Genomic DNA, 19,853 nt, shown 5'->3' on the forward strand with positions numbered 1-19,853 from the left:
CCTCGAGTCCGGCGTTACCCGCCACCAGGCTCCCGCCCGGCCCCCGGCCCAGCGTGCTCTCACCGCAAAGCTGCTTCGGCCGCTCGTCACTGCGTGTCCCTCTCAGCGTGAGCCGCGAGCTCAGCAGGGAGGCCCCGAGAACGGCGCGGGGCACAGGCCCGCCGAAGCGGACTGCCAGCTACCTCTCCACTAACGAAGCGGTCACAGGCTCCGGTGCCCAGACTGGGAAGGAGGGAGGGAGGGAGGGAGGGAAACTCCGAGGGGGGAAGGGGAGGGGGGAAGATGGAGAAACCGTCTCCGCCGCCTCTACCGCCGCGGCCGCTTCTCTGTTACCCGGGAAATCCCGCCCACTCCCCCGACCCCGCCCCGCAGAGGGAAGACTCAGCTTCGTTCCAATACAGGACGCAATACCCGCCCGTCAAAGACTCAGCCAACCACCGAGGCCTGTCTTATGATTTTCCCGCCCCTTCCCCCTCGACTGGTAGGGGAGGGGGAGCCGCTCTCCTTCTCCACGCCCCTATTGGCGGGGAGCTTCCCTAACTCAACCCCGCCTATTGGAGACGGACTGCTGAAGCCCACCCCCGAGCCCCAACACTATTGGAGGAAGCAGGGAAGCTCTTCCTGTCTCATTGGAGGACACCACATAACCCGCCCTGCAGCGTCTCAGCCACAGGCCTAACAAGTTGGCTCCCGCCTCCGCTGGTCATCGCATTGGAAGGCTACCCCTGGCTCTCCCACCGCCCCAGTAAGGTAAGTAACCGATGTGGGGTAAAATGTCTGTAAGTGAAACAGGCTCCGCCTACCGCACTGCCGGGCCAGGCCCCGCCCCAAGAGTCGGATTGGATATCTTGGCGCTGGTAGGACCCTCCATTGGCCAGGGCGCCCGTCTAGGAAGGAGCTAATTCCACCCTGCGCGAGGAGGCTGAACCTTAGCAGTCCTTTTGTGGAATGTTTACACTAGAGACTGAAGCTCGGAGTTCCAGGGCCCGAGATAGGAGGGGGAGCGGAGCTCATCAGCGGAGACTCCACATCCTAGGATTTGAAGGAAAGGCAGCCCACCATGGAGGACTCCCTCACAAAAAAAATGAGAGAATGAGAACTCATCCTTCCGTCCAGTTATCTTTACAGTTTACATTCTACACACTGCGTCCTTGTAAACACAAATATCCGGAGCAGCTGGCAACTCCTTTCAGCCAAGTAGAGTACAGAACTAAGGTCTGGAGACCTAGGCGGAGAAGTAAACTCCCTAGAGCTGAATATGCAGTCCTAAGAGGGCGGAGATAACCAAAAGAGAGGCGGGCTCTAACAGCCACCGCCCTGGCAAGCCTCCGGAAGGCGGAGCGTGAGGCACAAGGTACTCACGATCTCCCGGGTGGATCTGGAGGCATCCTCAGAACTGAGAAAGGAGAGGAAAACACCAAAACAGGCCACGGCATAAATTAACATTGGGGACATGCCACACTCAGAGAATGGATAAAATTTCCGTAGTTGGGGACATAAGATAACGGCTGTTCACCTTCTCCTTGGCCGGGAGTGTTAATAGCAGTTCCTGTGCCCTCTCTGTGTAGGTAACAGTGCCTCGAACACACAGTGAGACAAAGTGCTTTCAATTCCTAGTTTGCTTTTATTTATTCACCAAATAGGGCGTGGGCCTGACGCTGATCTTACTTTGGGGGGCGCTCTCTCAGCGCCAGGAGAGGTGACGGGATTACGTTGTTACCGCTCTCCCGAATAAGTAGAACCCTCCTCCCAGAGAGCTAAGACCCCAAGGGACACGCCCAGGGAACCCACGCCTAGGTCCAACACTGTCCTCCCTCTGCAATCCAGCGGAAACGGCCAGGAACGAGCTCTGGCAGCAGGTGGGCCTGACTCCAGCGATGGCTTCGAGCCGCGAAACCACAGCAGCGAATTGTGAACTCCAAGGGTAGCCGACAGGTGGGAGCAGCCTCGCCAGTAGCCAAGCCCTGCCCCAGGACAGAGCTCTAAAAATAAGTCAGACCAACGAAGCGACCCCAGGGCCAAACTGCTCGGAGGTTAGGAGGAAGCGGCACTCCAGCAGAACTGACCCACGGCTACTTTTAACTTTGCGCCGCCTTCCACCACTAGACTGAGTACCACAGGGCATTCCCACCATGGTATCAAGAACTACTCAGAACCCAAGCCAGCATTAGGCCGCCCACGACTTCCCGTGAACACAGGGTACCACCTGCGCTAAGATCTCGCCTAAGGGCCCCAGGCCAGGGCACTAGGTTGTCAGAGTCTCAGATACAGCCAACTAAGGACAGCCGCTGCCATGCCTAGGAAAGAACAGACACTTGCAGCGTCTGCAGAGTTCTCGAGCTTAAGCTCAGGGAAGTCAAGGGGCACGGAAATAGCCAAGCGACAGGGTTAGAACTTTAGTACTTGGCCCCGGCCCCGAAAGGCAGATCTCAAACCCAGCAGAACCTCCGGAGTTTCGCTCCCGAAATCCACTCCGCACTGTAATCCCCTGGCTTCACCCCGAAGGCTACTAGGTCTCGAGCCTCGGTGGAACCTTTGTGTGGCTTCTCGGCTCTCCCCGCCCCCCTCGCCAAGGGCGCCGAGCCTAGGACTTCCGGGCGGGAGGGCAGTTCGAAGGAGCTAGGCGGGCCTCACACATGTGCGGAGCGCGCTCAAGAGCGGAGGGAGGCGGGGAGCAAGGGTGGACTTCCCCTCCCAGCTCTCTCCGCCGGAGGAGGCCGGGCTACCCGCCCCACCAATCAGAGGCGGGGGCGGGACCTTGCGCCTCACGTCATCCGCAAGAACCGTCCCTCCTCCCTCCGCGAAAAAAAAATCCTAGCAACTTAAACTCCAGCCCGGCCTCCCGATAGGCGGAGCTCGGGAGAATGTCATCCAATCCACATCCAAGAAGGAGAAAAAAAGGGAGTCTCGCCTAGCCAGTGGAAGACAAGAGAAGGCGGGGCCTCCGGGAGAGCCGGAGGTGGGTGGGAGAGAGGAAAGGGGTCCGCCCCTCAGCTCCCCTGCAGGCGGGTTGCACAAGCCGCCGGCGGAGTAGATAGTAAACAGTCTGGGCCGAGGAGTGCAGGCAAGGGCCGCCCGGCGCTCGGTGGACTGGGCCCCTGCGCCGCCTCTCCCGGCGTCGCCCCGCCCGGCCGGGACGGTTCCCGCCGGCGCCCCGCCTACCCGCCCGCGGCCGCCATCCCGGCTGACAGGCGCGCCCCCCGCGCCCCTCCCCGCCCGCTGATGCATTTCCTTTTCCCGATTCCGAGCGTGGAGACTGTTTTCCCAGTTTCCGACCTTCACTGCCCCTTTCAGGCCACCCCCTCGTGGGCGCGCACACGCCCGCGCCCCCGCCCCCGCCCCATCCGCGCCGAGCGGTCCGCAGCAGCACCTCGCGGGAAGGGGGAGCCCGGCGGCGGCACGGTCGGGGGAGGGGAAGAGAGCAGCAGTCGCCGCCGCCGCCTTGGGGTGGGCGGGGAAGCAGGCAGCTCCATGTTTGCAAGGGGATCAGCCGGGGCCGCGGACGAAGCCGCCGAGTTTCTGGGGGTTTTCCGCACCACCGATGCGAGCTCCTTGCTGGGTCGCGGCCTGACGGGTTCCGGCACCGAATGCTGACTCGACCGCCACGGCCAGGGAGTTTGGAGACCCGGCAGCTCGCAGGGCTAGCGGCGAGGCGCAGGGGCTCTTTCCGGTGGCCTCTCCCGCCCCCGGCCGCCCCTCCCGCAAGTCCGGTGTTGCCCCCGCCCCCAGAGTCCATAACAACCGCGGGCCCACAGTGCCCGCGCCTCTCCGGAGCGCGCCCACCGCCCCCTCCAAGTTTGCGGGCAAAAACAAAACCCTCGGGGCGGCTGCCGCCCTTGTCCAGCGTGGGTAGCCAGGGAAGCCGCGGGCCCCGGCTCGCTCGCTAACTCCAGCTCTCGAGCAACTCCGAGCGCCGCGAGCTCAGTGGGCCCCGCCGACCATGCTCGAGCCGCCGCCCCCTGCCGAGCCCGCACGCCGCAGCTCCGGCCCGGTTCTAGTCGGTGTGCGGAATCCCCCTTTTCTTTCCAGTATTTTTCTTTTTAAAAAAACGGCACAACAGGAGTCGGGGGTCTCCTGCCCGCCCCTTCTCCAGTCCGCCGCCAAAACCTACCGAAACCGACTGCTCGGTGAGATAAACTAGGCTACACGGCCGGCGCAGGGACGACCCCAGGCCAGGCCCACCCCTCTCCCACGGCTCCGGCCAGGCTGGGAAACACACACACTGGCGAGCGGGCGGCGCCAAGAGCTCTCCTTCCTGGCCTGTCCCTCGCCTACCTCGGCCGCGGAACTCCGAGCCTCCCCTCAGCTCGGTCCCAGGGCCCGCAGGGCCCACACCACGTCGGGCCGGCCAGACCGAGCGGCCGGCGGACTAGCCCCCCAAACGCCTGAGATTGGGGGGACCAAATTAAAAGCAGCTGTTTAACATACCTTCCGAGCCAGGCGAGGAGTCCTGAATGGGGGGGAACGCCCCCCACGGGCTATTGGCTCCCCGGCGCTCACGTCAGTCACCCTGGGCCCGCCTCCGCCCTTCGCCCCGCCTCTTCCCCTTCATTGAACGCCCCCTCCTTCCAAAAAATATAAATTAATTAATTAAACTAAACGCGAGTGGGAGACGCATCCGTGGTAGAGGCCCATATAGCTCCCTCGCCGCCGACTCGAGTTTCTTGAGGTCCTCGGACTGGGGGGAGGCCGCCTGGGACTCGGAGATCCGCTGGGTGGACGCGGAGGACGAGCCAGCGGAGCTACCCGGCCCCAACTTCCTTCACACACACAACCCATTTGGAACTAGGTAGGAGAGAAGGGTAGGAGCACCCTAGTCACTGGCTGGAGTGGGCAGACTCCTGTGGCTGTGTGACCTAACCGTGTTCGGTCCGCTCTGTTAGGCGACTAAAAATGAGTGATGCAAACAGGAAGCCCTGCGTCCGCGGGCAACAGGCACTTGCCTGAGCACCTACTGTGGGTGAGGCAGACATTCATACGTACCTGCTGCTGGGTGCAATTACAGACTGGATGACATGCTTACTCTACCCCTCCAAGGGCTCCAGATTCAGCCGAGGAGATTCTACGTAAGGAACTAAGGCAAGGCAGGAATGTGTATGAAAATAGGAATGTGTATGTAAATAGGAGCTCAGAGAAGAGAGATTCCTTTTCGCTGAAGGAGAATTGGGAAAGGTTTCATGAAGGAGGTGGCATTCAAGTTGGGTCTTAAAGATTTCATCCAGCAAATTGGAGGGGCAGGTCATTTTCATCAAAGGACACAAAGGGGTGAATGCAAAAAAGGACCTTCATATGTGGCTGTAGTAATAAAAAAGGAGGGGTGGGGAGATGGAACAAACAGTTTAAGACTTTTAGTTGAGTAAAATTCTTGGACGTGCGCAGCAGAATGTGCAGGCAGCACGGTCACAAGGCCCACAGACCCAGAACTATAGTGTAAGATGTTTGGCACCCTGGCAGAAAGATGGGTTCTGACGATGCACTGAGAGAGAAGTGCCTATAGGCAGCAAGGGGAGGCCCAGAGGCTGTTGTAATACTGCGTTTGGAGACTGCAGAAGTGCCTCTTGTGGAAGGAATAGCTGGGGAAAGAGAAGGCTTCTTTTCTCTATCAAAGCCACCCAATCCGAAAGCTTTCCCCACCTTCAGCAGCCCTCAAGTCAAAGCTTTGACTCAGATCCTTCCTTGCCTCATTTGCTTTATTTATCATAACTTCTAACCAAAAGGAGTTTCTAGGGGACAGAAGCCACCCCACATGTCTGTATTCCAGAGAGCTGAGCCTAGAGCCAGAGCACACAATGTGAAACAAACAAAAAAACCTGTTTGTTGAGGCATTGAGGAAAGGAAGTTAATGTGGATAAGGTGGGGTGTGCAGAATGTGAAGGACCTTGGCATCCAATGGGCAGAATGAGGGCCTGCTGCCAGTTAGGAAATTATTGGGAAGTCTTTCCCAATAATTCAGGAGACACGAAAGGAGGATTGACCAGAACAGTGACAGTGGGTGAAAAGAATTTTATTTTTTTTTGAGACAAAGTCTCACTCTCTCACCCAGGCTGGAGTGCAATAGCATGGTCTCGGCTGACTGCAACCTCCGCCTCCCAGGTTCAAGCGATTCTCCCGCCTCAGCCTCCCGAGTAGCTGGGACTACAGGCTACAGGCGTGTGCCACCACACCCGGCTAATTTTTGTATTTTTAGTACAGATGGGGTTTCACTATGTTGGCCAGGTTGGTCTCCAACTCCTGACCTTGTGATCCACCCGCCTCTGCCTCCCAAAGTGCTGAGATTATAGGCGTGAGCCACCGCGCCCAGCCGGTGAGAAGAATATTGAAGGAGAGCCTGTATTTGAGAAAGACTCAAGGGGAGTAGGTGAGTGATTCAGTGTGGGTAGTAGAGGGAAAGAAGTAGCCTGTGGCCTGCTGTGTGAAGAGTTGATAGAGCTTGAGGCTACTAGTTAGGTAATCTGAGTTCTGCACTTAGCATGGTCAGCAACTGGTGTTATAGTCTTAGGCAAGTCTCTTCCTCCCTCTGAGCCTCAGTTTCCCTGTGAAATGGGGTTGGAAATTGGAATAGAAAGATAGACTCGGCTGGACGTGGTGGCTCACACCTGTAATCCCAGCACTTTGGGAGGCCAAGGTGGGCGGATCACAAGGTTAGGAGATCAAGACCATCCTGGCTAACACAGTGAAACCCTGTCTCTACTAAAAAATACAAAAAATTAGCCAGGCGTGGTGGTGGGCGCCTGTAGTCCCAGCTACTTGGGAGGCTGAGGCAGGAGAATAGCGTGAACTTGGGAGGCGGAGCTTGCAGTGAGCCAAGATCACGCCACTGCACTCCAGCCTGGGCGTCAGAGACAGACTCCGTCTCAAAAAAAAAAAAAAGAAAAAGAAAAAAGAAAAAAAGATAGACTCTAAGGACCTCACATAGGATCCAGGTGGGGGAAGCTTACCACTGAGGAGACAGGGTAGGTGGGAAGAACTACTGATTTTGGAAGGGCAGTGGGTCACCCCAACTGGAGTCTGGAGACTGGAAAATAGGCAGTAGCTCAGTCAATTGAATCACTGGGTGAAAAGTATGGAGAGGGAAAGGCCAGGAGATAAGGACTATGTGTTCAGCAGGAGGCCCACCCTGGCAGAGCCATGGAGTTTGAGGTTCATCCTCCCTAGGGTGAGGACCAAGTTTTTCTTCAGAACAGAGATCCCAGCTGGGCAACAGAGCAAGACCCTGTCTCTACAAAATATTTAAAAATTAGCTGTGCGTGGGCTGGGCGCTGTGGCTCGTGCCTGTAATCCCAAGACTTTGGGAGGCCAATCACCTGAGGTCAGGATCACCTGAAGGCGGATCACCTGAGGCCAGGAGTTCGAGACTAGCCTGGCCAACATGAAGAAACCCCATCTCTACTAAAAATACAAAAAAATTAGCAGGGCATGGTGGTGGGCACCTGTAATCCCAGCTACTCGGGAGGCTGAGGCAGGAGAATCACTTGAACCCAGGAGGTGGAGGTTGTAGTGAGCTGAGATTGCACCACTGCACTCCAGCCTGGGCGATAAGAGTGAAACTCCATCTCAAAAAAAAAAAATTAGCTGTGTGTGGTTGCATGTGCCTACAGTCCGAGCTACTCGGGAGGCTGAGGCAGGAGAATCGCTTGATCCTGGGAGGTGGAGGTTGCAGTGAACCGAGATCACATCACTGCACTCCAGCCTGGGTGACAAGAGCAAAACTTTGTCTCAAAAAAAAAAAAAAATTAGCTGTCCATGGTGGCAACATGCCTACAGTCCCAGCTAGTTGGGAGGCTGAGGCAGGAGAATTGTTTGAACCTGGGAGGCGGAGGTTGCAGTGAGCCTAGATCGCGCCACTTCACTCCAGCCTGGGCAGAAGAGTGAAACTCTTTGAGAGTTTTTTTTGAGACAGAGTCTCAAAAAGAACCCAGTCGGGTGCAGTGCCTCACACCTGTAATCCTAGTACTTTGGGAGGCCCAGGTGGTTGGATCACCTGAGGTCAGGAGTCCAAGACCAGCCTGGCTAACATGGCAAAACCCCGTCTCTACTAAAAATAGAAAAATTAGCTGGGCGTGGTAGTGGGCGCCTATAATCCCAGCTACTCAGGAGGCTGAGGCAGGAGAATCACTTGAACCCGGGAGGCAGAAGTTGCAATGAGCCGAGATCATGCCATCTCACTCCAGCCTGGGTGGGGAAGAGTGAAACTCCATCTCAAAGAAAAAAAAAAAAAAAAAGAACCAATCCCCTGATGGCTGGATCCCCATCTCAAATTCCTGCTCTATTTCTTAATTTCTTAAGGGGCTCTAGCTGAAGGCATAACAGATACTGTGTCAAAGTGAGATGAGGCAGATTGGTGGAGCAGAAAGAACTAGTCTGGAAGTTGAGTCCCCTGGTTCCCACTTAGTCCCTTCTTATCTGTGGATCAGCTTCCTCTCCTATATAAGAGGATAACATAGCAATCCTTGCCCTGTTATGAGGATCAAATGTGATGATAAAGTGTGCTTTATCACCTGGTAAGGTTCTGAGCTGCTGTGGAAGCCAAAGACCCAGCATTTGACAGTGATACTAGGCAGCACGTGTTGTGCTGTGGATGCAGTTACTCATGGAGGATTTGCAACTGCAACAGTTACCTCCACTCAGAGAACCAGGCTTTGCTGACACTGCCCATGGTCCTATGTGTGCCACCCTGGTGGAGACCTCCTCCTGAACACTTGGCAGACTGAGTTTCTTGAGGACAGACACTTCGATGCACCTCTGAGTCCCCAGAGCTCACTGCAGTCAGATACAGGGGGCCCTTTGGAAGGGGTCCAGTGATGGTTTCTCACTCAGTATGTTGACACCTGGACAGCACGGCAAGTCCCACATTCTTTGGGAAAGAGAACGCTTGATTTGGTGACATTGTCCCTCCAGCTGCCAGCTGCACTGAGGGATTACATCCATGCTACTCCCCTGACTACCCTATCAGTGAAGACAAAACTAAGTGGACTTTGTGAACCAACTGGTATAGGTAAAAATAATAATAATGATAATAATTAAAATAAAATTAAGTGGATTTGGGTAAGGGCCCTCCTAGGAGAAATCACACTGGTAGGTCAGGTTCTGATTCCTGGAGGCCCGTTTTATGTGAAAAGTCTCATAGACCAGCCTGGGCAACACAGTGAGACTGTCTCTACAAAAAATAAAAACAAATTTAGTTGGGCATGGTGGCATGTCCCTGTGGTCCCAGCTACTCAAGAGGCTGAGGCAGGAAGGTCACCTGAGCCTGGGAGGTTGAGACTGCTGTTAGCTGTAATCACACCGCTGCACTTGAGCCTGGGAGACAGAGCAAGACCCTGTCTCAAACAACAACAACAACAAATTCTTGTAGAGTTTGTGAGTTAGGGATTATTATCCTTAGTTATAGATGAGCAAACTGAGGCTAACAGCAGTAGAGTGACTTGCTCAAGTCAAATAGCTTAAGGGAAGTCTGGGTCCAAAGTCTAAGCTTTGCCTCCACTCCCACACGCTGTCTTTGTGCACTCCGGCCAGTGACCCAGGTTGGGGCCTGGAGAAAAACAGCCTGACTCCCCTGTTGCTCCACACTCCTCACCTCCCTAACTTAAAGATCAGTTTATCCTCAGACAATTCTAAATGATTTCTGGCCGTTTCCAGAAAATTATCCAGAAAAGCAACATTTGTCTGATGCACATACATACATACATACACAGAAGACCTAAACTCGCAACACATAAACTCAAATCTATCACACCTCCTGACACCCTCAATCTCACAGGTGTCTCACATACACCCTCTCTCTTTCACAAAAAGGACTCATTCAAAGTTCTTTAGGGCACTTATGGTAGGTGGTGACTGAGAGACATTTAGGGCCTGCACTTCAGTGACTCTGCCAAGGATATCAGTGCCAGCACCCTATCCACACAAGCTCTGAGGGCTAAGACTCTCAGTAATATCCAGGTAAGGAGGATATGAGGCTGGCTCCCCAGGGACCCACAACCCAAAGCATCTTCTAGGTTCAAGGCAAGATGATTTTGGCAAATCATTTATCTTTTCAGTTTCTTTATCTGTAATCTAAGAATCAGAATACCTACTTCGGTGGGAAGATGTGAGATTTAAAATTAAGTATGCCTGCCGGGCGTGGTGGCTCACGCCTGTAATCCCAACACTTTGGATCACGAAGTCAGATCAAGACTATCCTGGCTAACACAGTGAAACCCCGTCTCTACTAAAAATACAAAAAAATTAGCCGGGCATGGTGGCACGCGCCTGTAGTCCCAGCTACTTGGGAGGCTGAGGCAGGAGAATCACTTGAGCCGGGGAGCCGGAGGTTGCAGTGATCCGAGATCATGCCACTGCACTCCAGCCTGGGCGACAGAGACTCTGTCTCAAAAAAAAAAAAAAAAAATTAAGTATCCCTAGCATTCAGTCAAGAGTTCTCATATCTTTTTCCCCTCCTTTATCTCATCCCTACCTCCCTCTTCTCCTGGCCATTCAAATGCAAAGTCCGATTGAGCAATGAGCCCTGGAGCAGGCCTAGAGGGCCAAATAATCCCATGATGTGAAGAAACTCCATTTCTCTTGCAACCAGGTTTAGATGGTATATATTCCGTAATTTCTGATTTCTGGGTGGCCTTGGAGGCTCGGAATTTTTTTTTTTTCTTTGAGACGGAGTCTCGCTCTGTCATCCAGGCTGGAGTGCAGTGGCGCGATCTCAGCTCACTGCAAGCTCAGCTTCCCGGTTTCACGCCATTCTCCTGGGAGGCTCGGAATGTTTGAAGGAATTTTTATGACTGCTACTCACTGCCTTGAAATGTTTCCCCTGGCTGAGCATTAGTTTACCCTTCTGGGTCACTCAGCATGTTCCTCAGTTTACCTGGCTTTATGTTTTCAAAGTGTTTCCTTCTCTTTACCAGTTGTTTGGTGGCTTTTTTTTTTTTTTTTTTGAGACAGAGTTTCGCTCTTCTTGCCCAGGCTGGAGTGCAATGGCGCGATCTCCGCTCACCGAAACCTCCGTCTCCTGGGTTCAAGCGATTCTTCTGCCTCAACCTCCCCAGTAGCTAGGATTACAGGCTTGCGCCACCATACCCGGCTAATTTTGTATTTTTAGGAGAGATGGGGTTTCTCTGTGTTGGTCAGGCTGGTCTCAAACTCCCGACCTCAAGTGATCCACCCGCCTTGGCCTCCCAAGGTGCTGGGATTACAGGTGTGAGCCACTGCGCCTGGCCTGACGTTTTTTTTTTTTTTTTTAAAGCAACGAGTTCCTTTGTTACTGCTTTTTAAAAATAGAATAGCTTGCCATTTGAGAATTTATTATTTTTATTTATTTTTTTAGAGACGGGGTTTTGCCATGTTGCTCAGGTTGGTCTGAAACTCCTGGCCTCAAGTGATCCTCCCACCTTAGCCCCCCAAAGCACTGGGATTACAGGCCTGAGCCACTGCACCCAGCAAGGTCCTTTGTTCAAAGAAAATCTTATTCAGAAGCCTAATGTGTAAGAGATCAAGGTGGGCCTTGTTTTGGTTTAAGTGAGGACAGCCTGGGCACTGCAGTCTATTCCTTCACATCTCTCTCATGCAGCCTCCCTAACAGCCACATAGTCCCTTCGAAGACTTCTAATGAACCCACATTTCAGATCTTGTTCATTCGTCCCAGCCACTACCTACCTCTCAGCAGCCTGTGACAAAGCAGCCTGGCTTTGTGCTCAGTTACCTCTGCCTGTTCATTAGTATCCTTCAGCAGCTTTTCTTCCTCCGCCCATTACCTAAATGTTGGTGACATCCAAACGTATCTCCTCTCTTGCCTTCCTCATTCTCACTTCAAGGCTCATTGCTTCTGTCTAACTAAGTCCTAAACTGACATCTCCAGACCAGTATCTGCCCTGCACATCAGACTCCAGACTTCCACTGGATGCTGGCCACAGAAAATTTTTTATTAAAAATACATTTTTTCACAGAAGAAAATTCATTAAAAGTCAAGAAAGAGCCCCCAGATGAAATGGCTGACCTTTACTCAGGTGCACATCTGGCCAGTCTTGAGGCTTTAAGACAAACTACGCAGCAGCATTAGAGAAGTAGTAGATTATAATGTGCGGGGAGGGGAGACGGACGTGAGCCTGGAGTCTGAGAGGGGCACTGTACCGTTTTTTCCAACACCCCCAGCTAGGATTCTAGTGGAGTTAGCTATGTCCACCATGGCCTTAGCCTGAAAAATATGGGCATTTAAGACTTCAGCAGGCCACATTTAGCTCAAACAGGAGGATTTTATGACAGCCAAGGTAAAGAAGGGAGATTTAAACATTGTAACAGGTTTCAAGGTGCTAGATTTTTTTTCCCCCAAGAAAACATCTCCAAGTAAAAGTGATATATTTCTATTTGTGGAGAAGATCCTAGTCTTCTCTGTAGTCAATTATGAACAGTGCAGTCTAGAACACTTGATATTCACAAGTGTTGTGTAAAGGTAACTATAGGGCGGATACCTCCTAAGAGAAAAAGATGGTTCCCAGGCTGATGGGCATTTCCATTCCTGCCCTTGGTAGGCTCACAGTGGTTTGTGGGAGTAACCAAGGCCAGAGAGAAATCTAAGGACTAGGTTGGGAGCTATAGGACCCTTGGTCTGTTCATGCTTTGCCTCTGAGAAACCCTGTAGACCCCACATTAAGAAACAGGGAAACTTTAAAGGCCTATAGGCTGGTCTTGGAGATGACAGAGACCTGACCTGCTTTTCCTCCAATTGGAAGGCCAAGGGGGAAGAGAACTGAGGGAAGCTAGGGAAGTAGCAGCAGCTTGAAAGAAGAGACTCTGAAAACACACTAAAACTGGAGAGGCTGGGTGTGGTGGCCCATGCCTGTAATCCTCTCACTTTGGGAGGCCGAGGCAGGAGGATTGCTTGAGGCTGGAGTTCGAGACCAGCCTGGGCAACATAGTGAGATCCTGTCTCTAGAGAGAGAGAGAGAAAAAAAAAAAAAGCTGGGTTCCTGCTTGAGCCCAGTTGTTGAGACTGCAGTGAGCCATGATCATGCCACTCCCCTCTAACCTAGGCAACAGAGTGAGACTCTGTCTCTGAAAGTAAAAAAAATGAAAAGTGGGGAGTGCTAGTGGGAGCCAACTCAACCCAAGTAAAGGCCTAATAGCTCCTCTATGGGTGTTTGCACTGTCTAACAAAGAACTGGACCCTGACAGTCAGAGGACCCATGGTAGGATCATCTAGTGTAGCCCCTTCTTTTACAGAGGGAACCTAGGACTTGGGTTTGGTTCAGTGGTAAGACCTCAAAACCACAAAAGAGCTGGGTCACTCTAGAGAAGCTTTTCTACTTGGCCAATGCCTCTTGGCCCAATTCCCTCTAGGTCTCTGATTTATAAAAGTTTTTGTATGTGTGTCTGTCTGTCCCAAGAGACAGGAAGCATTCCTTTCAGGGAAGGAACCAAATTTCCCTAGGGCTATGATGCTAAATAGTCCATTCTCCCAAGAACAAGTCCTACTCTGTCATTTACCTGCATACTGTCACATGAAGACTGATAAGGGTGGGCCTCCGAGGCTGAGGATGCTGGGGCACCCTTCGTCTCAGGAGTCCCATCCTAGCCAATGAGGATGGGCAAGATGAAGGGAGCAATGGGAAAAAGGACACAGGGATTATCTCATGTTTGAAAAATTATATAGCATGGGAATGTTAGAGAAAGGTGAAACAAACAGCCATCAAATCAGAAGCAGAAGCCTGCTTTAGCTCAGTGTTTTCTTCTTTCCTGAACACTGTCTTTCTTTTTTATTTATTTATTTTTTTTGAGATGGAGTTTTACTCTTGTTGCCCAGGCTAGAGTGCAATGGCGCGATCTCGGCTCATTGCAACCTCTGCCTCCCAGATTCAAGTGATTCTCCCATTTCAGCCTCCCGAGTAGCTGGGATTACAAGCACATACCACCACACCCGGGTAATTTTTATATTTTTAGTAGAGATGGGGTTTCATCATATTGGTCAGGCTGGTCTCAAACTCCTGACCTCAGGTGATCTGCCCACCTCGGCCTTCCAAAGTACTGGGATTACAGGCATAAAGCCACTGCACTTGGACCCTGAGCATTTTCTCTTGCTTTGTTCACTAAGTCTCCTGTATGAGAACCCTGACTTGCCAAACAGATTCTGGGTTGCGTCTCTGCCTTCCCTTTCCTTTACCTCCTCCTTTAACACCTAACACAGGTAGGTTCACGCTGGTAAAAGCTACAAACAATGGCAGTGGGAGGAGTTCCTCTGAGTTTTACTGAAAATTTAGGAGACATCAATTTGTTAACTCTCTATAGGGTCAGAAACATGAACTAAATCTATGGTTCCCAAACCTGGATAATCCTGTCACTCACTAACAACCTACTGGATGGGCCCAGAAATCAGCATTTTATGGAGCTGAAGTGATAGATAACCTCACCAGTCTTCAGATATGCAATGAGGAACTCATGCATAACCTTAAATTCACAGGGCAGTCGGGTTACAGCCTCTTCAAATAAATGACAATTTAAAGTTACCTCCTCCAGGCCGTTTATCATTAATCCCATTTCTTACATGTTCCACCAAACCCCTGACCTCTCTGGTTTCTCAGATTTCCAAGAATCTCTGTTCACTTCTTATGTTTGTGCACTCCCAAGAGAATGGAGGCTCATCTGGAGAAGGAACTAGATTAATCTTCTGCTCTACACTTGAGCTCCTGATTATGGTAAGAAACTCGATAAAAATTTATTGGCAGATCAGAAGATGGATCCTTAGAGGAAGTCTAGTGTAAGAGGTGAAAGAAGATACTTTGGAGTCAGATGGTCTGGGATCCTGGCTGTAGCAAATTAACATTCCTGTCTCTCAATTTTTTTCTTCTGTCAATACCTACCTCAAAAGGTTGTTGAGGGTGAATGAGATGATACCTAGAAATTACTCTGAACAGTGCCTGGAATAGAGTGAGCATCCAGTAAATTGGCTGCTATGACTATTATTAAGAACACCCCAATATTTCCCAGCCACAACTGCCCCAACTGGGCAGGCCATCAACAGCCAACAGGTATGATATGGGGAGTGGTCTTCCATGTACAAAGCTTCTGGTTCCTTTCTTTCTAAGAGATAAATGCAAATGACTCAAGATCTTCTCACAAAGACCATGTACCCATAGATATGGAGTCTCCTGGGGAGAATGATAACCCCTTTGGTACGCTGCAGACATGAGGACCCTACATCAGGAGGTCCTAGCTAGGACAGTCAGTCACCAACCCTGTCACCCTTCGCGTCTACTACATGAAGCATGGGCACAAGAACAACAACCTGGAATTTAAGAACTTTTTTTACTCTGAAAGGAGAGCTAAACAAACCTCTGTTCTCCAAACACAAGATCTCCATCTTCCATGCAGTGAAGAGACCACAGGCTTTGTAAGCAGACCAACTTGAGCTCGTTTTAGAGCAAATCACTGTAACCCTCTGGACCTCACCTTCCTCATCTATATAGAAATGAGAAAGGGGTGCACAGGAGAAGGGAGAGAAGATAATATCTCACTGAATTGTTGTGAGGTTTGAATGAGGCAGGGTGGGGGAAAAGCACCTAGCATAGTGCTTAGCACATCTCAAGCACTGAACTGGTGCTGGTCCCTCTGTCCAGAGATAGGGCCATGGCCTACAGACAAGGTGAACTCATAGTGTCAGAACTCAAAGTCTCAGATACTGAAGGCTTGGGTCCCTCCCTGCCTCCCTCATCCCTCCCAGACCAGCTCCTGGACCCCCTCCCTCATGTCCCAGGCTGCTAAATTGATGAAGCTAAAAGGGTTTTGATCATGTCGGTATATTTATATGTAAATACAAAACTGTATCACTGTAAGATATTGAATATGAACATTACAATTATTTTCTGAATCAGACTCAGTCCATTGATATTAAATACAAAATGAAATGATTGTAAAAAATAATAATATACACATTCAAAGAGCTTATTACAGTATAAAATTATTGAGGTCTGATCAGCTGCCAACCTCATCTTCTGTCACAGGGGAAGGTTTAGGAGTTCCTGGGATTTTTTGGGAATGTGGAGTGCTGAGGACTCTTGATTTATCCCTAGCACATAAGGATGAGTGGGCTGGGAGCAGGCAGGGACAGGTTGGGTGGGTAGGGGACAAACAGTGATTGCAGGGGACCACCTCACTCAGCCAGGGGGTGAAGCTTTTTATTGACACAGAACCCACCCAGTTTGAGGGTCTAGCAGGCTAGCAGGCAGGAAGAGATGGGCATCTCGGTAGACAGGGCCAAGCTGCATAAAGGAACCATCCAGCAAAAGAAAAAGGGCCCCAGCTCATCCTCCCAGGGAGGTATTTTCTTAGTGGTTTTTTCTTTCTCATACCTGGGCTCCCCCTCCTTCCTTCTAAGATTCGTACCGATTGCATTTGGCTCTGGCTGCTCAGTGAGTTCATCTCTACCCTCCGCCTCCCATCCCTGGGATAGTGAAAGCAAAGAGAGAGTATGGAATCACAGTGGAGGTCTGTTCCCCAAATTGGCCAAGTAAATGTAGAAAAATCATCGGATAAGGGAAATCCATGCTGAGCTAACCCAGTGTCACCACAAACTAATACATTCTTGGCTCCAACAGGTGGCAACTGGAAGGAGATAAGTCATTACTTAAGGAAGGGGCCCTGTGGCAGGAACATGGAGGAGATGTGTGTGTGTCCTCTTCCACCACTCTGTAGCCTGACAAGAGGAGACATGATCACCAACCCAAGCTAGTCCAGGATAAATAGTAGGGTCCAAGAAGCAAGGAGTCCTGAACTGCAACACGGAGCCCCAGGAACTTCTGGAAAGGAGTATCGTGTGTATATGTATTTATAGAATACGATCATATTATCACATACAATATATATTATATACACACGTACATATGGACCCATACACATAAGTGCACACACACACACACACAGAATGACAGAAAGGACTGGAATACACGCCCTACTTATAAACGTGCTTGGCACTCAGGACGATCTCTAGAATATGTAACTTGGTCAAGCTCTCTGGGGAGAAAGGCAAATGCTCATCAAACCTCCCCATAAAATCCTAGGAAAGGGAAGGAGTGGGAGACAGGAGACCTCAGAAAAAGAATGGCGGGAGAAAGGAGGAGGGAGGTTCCTTCCCCACTTACCTCGGGGACCCTAGCAAAAATCAATAGCCACAATTTGGTTTTAATAAGGCACAGTTTGATAGCAGATGCTAGGAATTAAGAACACATTGCTACTGGCCCTTTCTAGTGGCAATTTCACCACATTTATCTAGCCAAAGGGAAAGGCTGCCTTGCGTGCACACGTGTGCTGGGAGACACAAGAAAGAAGTTGATCCATGGCTTCAGCGTAACTGATGGCAACCTATAGGCTCAGCGGTGTCCAGGGTAGTTTAAGGAAGGCTGGCCAACAGGTAGGAGGTTCGTAGGAGAGTTACTGACTCTCCACGGCCAGCAGGTTTTGGCCAGAGGATACCATGCCCTCCTTCTCTGCGAACTCCAGGATGGCCTTGTAGCAAAAATAGTACTGCTCAGGGGTCTGGATGCTGAAGGCCCTCTGGGTCCTCATGCGTGACACCGTCTGGAACACATTAAGGGTGCCAAGCTCCTCCAGCTGTGCCAGGCAGATGTCCAGTGAGCAGAAGGTACCTGAAGAAGGAAGGAAGTGATCACATCTGGTTTACCTCTCTTCTCTTCCTCCCTCTACCAAATAACCCAGGCAGAACTGAATGAATGACTTCACAGGCAAAGTGCCTCATGGCAGAAGGCCAGGTGGCCTTAGGCCTGAAAGGACTCAAGAAGGAGGTCACAGGGAGTGTTGGAGGCCAGAGAAATGAGAAGGCCTCTTATTTCTCAGGACATACACTTGGGGTAACAGGAAGTGGAAATGGGAAGGTGACACAGGGGAACTTCCTGCTTCAATCCCAGACAGACAGACTGACAGCACTCCCACACCTAATTTCCAGAGTCCACAAGTTTTTCAGAGGCCTAACAAAAACCTATTCTCAACTTTCTCCCAAAGGGACCTTTGAAATAGAAAGGCCAACATTTCCTACCATGTACATGCCCTTAAGGCAAAAGCTGCTAACTGGCTCCAGAATGGAGAACACAGCACAGGGTGGGGAGTCCCTCCAGGGAGGGCTGGATGGGAAGGAAGCAGCAGCCCAGCTGAGCTCTCTGGGATACCTGCAGTGACAGTTCTAACAGGTGACAGAGTCAGCGTTATGATGGGGTGTATAAAACATCAACCCCTAGAGGACTTGGCTTGTGAAATATATATTCTGGCCATCACTTGGTCCACCAAAAGGACATTAGATGAGGGATTTTTCACAGCAATTCACCACCAAGGGAGCAAGTGAGTTCCTTCTCCAATCACAGATGTGGGCTAAGAGCTTTGTTTTTCCTCGTCCACCCCTACTGCCCCTGCAGACACCAAGAGCTGCATTAGGTGCGTTACCTGTCCTGCCAATGCCTGCACTGCAATGGACCACAATGGGTGGCTCAGGGCACTGCCCTTTGGAGCGTGCTCCCATGTTGCTCACAGCCAGACTCTGCTGGTTTCTGACCACTCTCAAGAAGTCAATGAGGGAAGCTGCTGAGGAAGGGACACCATAGTCTGGCCAGCTCAAGAACTGGAAGTGGGTCACCTGGCGTTTCTGCCGTTCCTTAGATAAGAAAAGAAGTAAACGTTAACAAGGTTATTTCTGCCTGCCCCTAGCTACCTCTGGCTTTTCCAGATTCTCAACACCCTGGTTATCCCTACCACCAAGGCTCCTATCCACCACTGTCAACTTTTCCCATAATTGCTTCTTTACTACAAACCCAAAGGAAGGGTTGGTTAATTGGAAAAGGCAGAATTCCTATACTGTAAGATCCAGAATTTTTTTTGAGACAGGATCTCACTCTGTTGCCCAGGTTGGAGTGCAGTGGCACGATCAAACTTACTGCTGCCTTGACCTCACAGGCTTGTGCCACCATGCCCAGCTAATTTGTTCTATGTTTTGTAGAGACAGGATCTCACTGTGTTGCCTAGATTATCTTGAACTCCTGGGCTCAAGTGATCCTTCCACCTCTGCCTCCCAGAGTGCTGGGATTATAGGCCTAAGCCATTGCACCCAGCCCCAGATTTCTAAAATTATAAGCTTTACTCCTATTTAATGTTCCTATCGTGCTGCAGTAATATGGCTATATTGGCTGTGAGTTAAATATCCTCATCCTGTCCCTAGAAAAACAGAAGCAACTCATAACTTCCCTGGTATCCTACCTATTCCCTCTGGAGATTTTCATTACAGTAATTATTCTCCCCCTGTTTCAACAAGGTGAGAAAAAAGAAACCTGGATTTACCTCTGTGTTGTGAATTTCTAGCGTTGTTTTCTTATAATGATTCATGTTCTCCACGCCTAGATTGGTCACTGTGAGGAAGCCAAATCGGATCCGAGAGTCTTTTTCTAAAGGCCAGTACTGGCCACACTTTCTCCTGCCGCCTTCCTCAAAGCTGAAGACACACAGAGCAAGGTAAGCCTTCCATCGTTCCTCTCCACAGCAGTAACCTGGCTTCCCCAAAGACCTGATATACCCCCAGGCAGCAATATCATCTCTTGCATTGCTTCTAACTTACACCATTGATTCTCAGCAGAAAGGAAAGGAAACCTCTTCATTCTAAACAAATGTACTCACAGCTAAAGTTTCTGCATGTACTCATATAGCAGACAGTTACTGAGCACTTACTACAGCATTTGGTCTTTTTCCTAATACGCAATAGTACGTCTCACATATGTGGGATAAATACTGGGTGAACAGAGACAAAAACAGTATAGTAGCTGGGTATAGTGGTGCATGCCTGTAATCCCAGCTACTTGGGAGGTTTAGGCAGGAGA

The 19,853-nt window shown here is 50.9% G+C and overlaps 2 protein-coding genes and 1 long non-coding RNA gene across 12 annotated transcripts in view, besides 12 other annotated features; 1 reads left to right on the top strand and 2 right to left on the bottom strand.

The window, feature by feature from the left end:
- Positions 1–4,456, bottom strand: part of SIN3A (SIN3 transcription regulator family member A) — an 86,437-nt gene extending 81,981 nt beyond the window's left edge. For 4 of the 8 annotated variants that reach the window (NM_001145358.2, NM_001437462.1, XM_047432355.1 and 1 more), the window contains exon 1: positions 64–331. The gene's annotated coding sequence lies outside the window, so the exon portion shown is untranslated. Of the gene's footprint in view, positions 332–803; positions 1,213–4,275 lie in introns of those variants that run through there. The other 4 variants (NM_001437463.1, NM_001145357.2, XM_047432362.1 and 1 more) reach the window with 4 other exon arrangements.
- Positions 196–295: a silencer, noted in NCBI's record as "silent region_6670". NCBI's record gives its function as "represses an Ori minimal core promoter by ATAC-STARR-seq in GM12878 lymphoblastoid cells {active_cell/tissue: GM12878}" and the evidence as "EXISTENCE:reporter gene assay evidence [ECO:0000049][PMID:35858748]".
- Positions 936–985: an enhancer, noted in NCBI's record as "active region_9853". NCBI's record gives its function as "activates an Ori minimal core promoter by ATAC-STARR-seq in GM12878 lymphoblastoid cells {active_cell/tissue: GM12878}" and the evidence as "EXISTENCE:reporter gene assay evidence [ECO:0000049][PMID:35858748]".
- Positions 1,215–1,746: an enhancer, noted in NCBI's record as "H3K27ac-H3K4me1 hESC enhancer chr15:75744915-75745446 (GRCh37/hg19 assembly coordinates)". NCBI's record gives its function as "activates a minimal SCP1, AML or CMV promoter by ChIP-STARR-seq in naive H9 embryonic stem cells {active_cell/tissue: H9 hESC(naive)}" and the evidence as "EXISTENCE:reporter gene assay evidence [ECO:0000049][PMID:30033119]".
- Positions 1,747–2,279: an enhancer, noted in NCBI's record as "H3K27ac-H3K4me1 hESC enhancer chr15:75745447-75745979 (GRCh37/hg19 assembly coordinates)". NCBI's record gives its function as "activates a minimal SCP1, AML or CMV promoter by ChIP-STARR-seq in naive H9 embryonic stem cells {active_cell/tissue: H9 hESC(naive)}" and the evidence as "EXISTENCE:reporter gene assay evidence [ECO:0000049][PMID:30033119]".
- Positions 1,776–1,865: an enhancer, noted in NCBI's record as "active region_9854". NCBI's record gives its function as "activates an Ori minimal core promoter by ATAC-STARR-seq in GM12878 lymphoblastoid cells {active_cell/tissue: GM12878}" and the evidence as "EXISTENCE:reporter gene assay evidence [ECO:0000049][PMID:35858748]".
- Positions 2,316–2,535: an enhancer, noted in NCBI's record as "active region_9855". NCBI's record gives its function as "activates an Ori minimal core promoter by ATAC-STARR-seq in GM12878 lymphoblastoid cells {active_cell/tissue: GM12878}" and the evidence as "EXISTENCE:reporter gene assay evidence [ECO:0000049][PMID:35858748]".
- Positions 2,826–2,925: an enhancer, noted in NCBI's record as "active region_9856". NCBI's record gives its function as "activates an Ori minimal core promoter by ATAC-STARR-seq in GM12878 lymphoblastoid cells {active_cell/tissue: GM12878}" and the evidence as "EXISTENCE:reporter gene assay evidence [ECO:0000049][PMID:35858748]".
- Positions 3,016–3,455: a silencer, noted in NCBI's record as "silent region_6671". NCBI's record gives its function as "represses an Ori minimal core promoter by ATAC-STARR-seq in GM12878 lymphoblastoid cells {active_cell/tissue: GM12878}" and the evidence as "EXISTENCE:reporter gene assay evidence [ECO:0000049][PMID:35858748]".
- Positions 3,616–3,685: an enhancer, noted in NCBI's record as "active region_9857". NCBI's record gives its function as "activates an Ori minimal core promoter by ATAC-STARR-seq in GM12878 lymphoblastoid cells {active_cell/tissue: GM12878}" and the evidence as "EXISTENCE:reporter gene assay evidence [ECO:0000049][PMID:35858748]".
- Positions 3,776–3,835: a silencer, noted in NCBI's record as "silent region_6672". NCBI's record gives its function as "represses an Ori minimal core promoter by ATAC-STARR-seq in GM12878 lymphoblastoid cells {active_cell/tissue: GM12878}" and the evidence as "EXISTENCE:reporter gene assay evidence [ECO:0000049][PMID:35858748]".
- Positions 4,566–4,755: an enhancer, noted in NCBI's record as "active region_9858". NCBI's record gives its function as "activates an Ori minimal core promoter by ATAC-STARR-seq in GM12878 lymphoblastoid cells {active_cell/tissue: GM12878}" and the evidence as "EXISTENCE:reporter gene assay evidence [ECO:0000049][PMID:35858748]".
- Positions 9,329–9,623: an enhancer, noted in NCBI's record as "tiled region #2587; HepG2 Activating DNase matched - State 5:Enh". NCBI's record gives its function as "activates a minimal TATA promoter and a strong SV40 promoter by Sharpr-MPRA in HepG2 cells {active_cell/tissue: HepG2}" and the evidence as "EXISTENCE:reporter gene assay evidence [ECO:0000049][PMID:27701403]".
- The window catches only part of PTPN9 (protein tyrosine phosphatase non-receptor type 9), a 116,065-nt gene continuing 108,103 nt past the window's right edge, over positions 11,892–19,853 (bottom strand). Inside the window, exons 11-13 of the mRNA NM_002833.4 lie at positions 19,321–19,471; positions 18,433–18,640; positions 11,892–17,624 (exon numbers count right to left, since the gene is read on the bottom strand). Of these exons, the coding sequence (NP_002824.1) occupies positions 17,410–17,624; positions 18,433–18,640; positions 19,321–19,471 (574 nt within the window). The 3' untranslated portion in view covers positions 11,892–17,409. The remainder of the gene's footprint in view (positions 17,625–18,432; positions 18,641–19,320; positions 19,472–19,853) is intronic.
- Positions 19,403–19,853, top strand: part of LOC105370902 (uncharacterized) — a 32,278-nt gene continuing 31,827 nt past the window's right edge. For all 3 annotated transcript variants that reach the window (XR_932482.2, XR_001751804.2, XR_932483.2), the window contains exon 1: positions 19,403–19,491. This is a non-coding gene — a long non-coding RNA (uncharacterized LOC105370902). The remainder of the gene's footprint in view (positions 19,492–19,853) is intronic.

The sequence above is a fragment of the Homo sapiens genome, chromosome 15 (assembly GCF_000001405.40).
Source record: "Homo sapiens chromosome 15, GRCh38.p14 Primary Assembly".
Taxonomy (NCBI): Eukaryota; Metazoa; Chordata; class Mammalia; order Primates; family Hominidae; genus Homo; species Homo sapiens.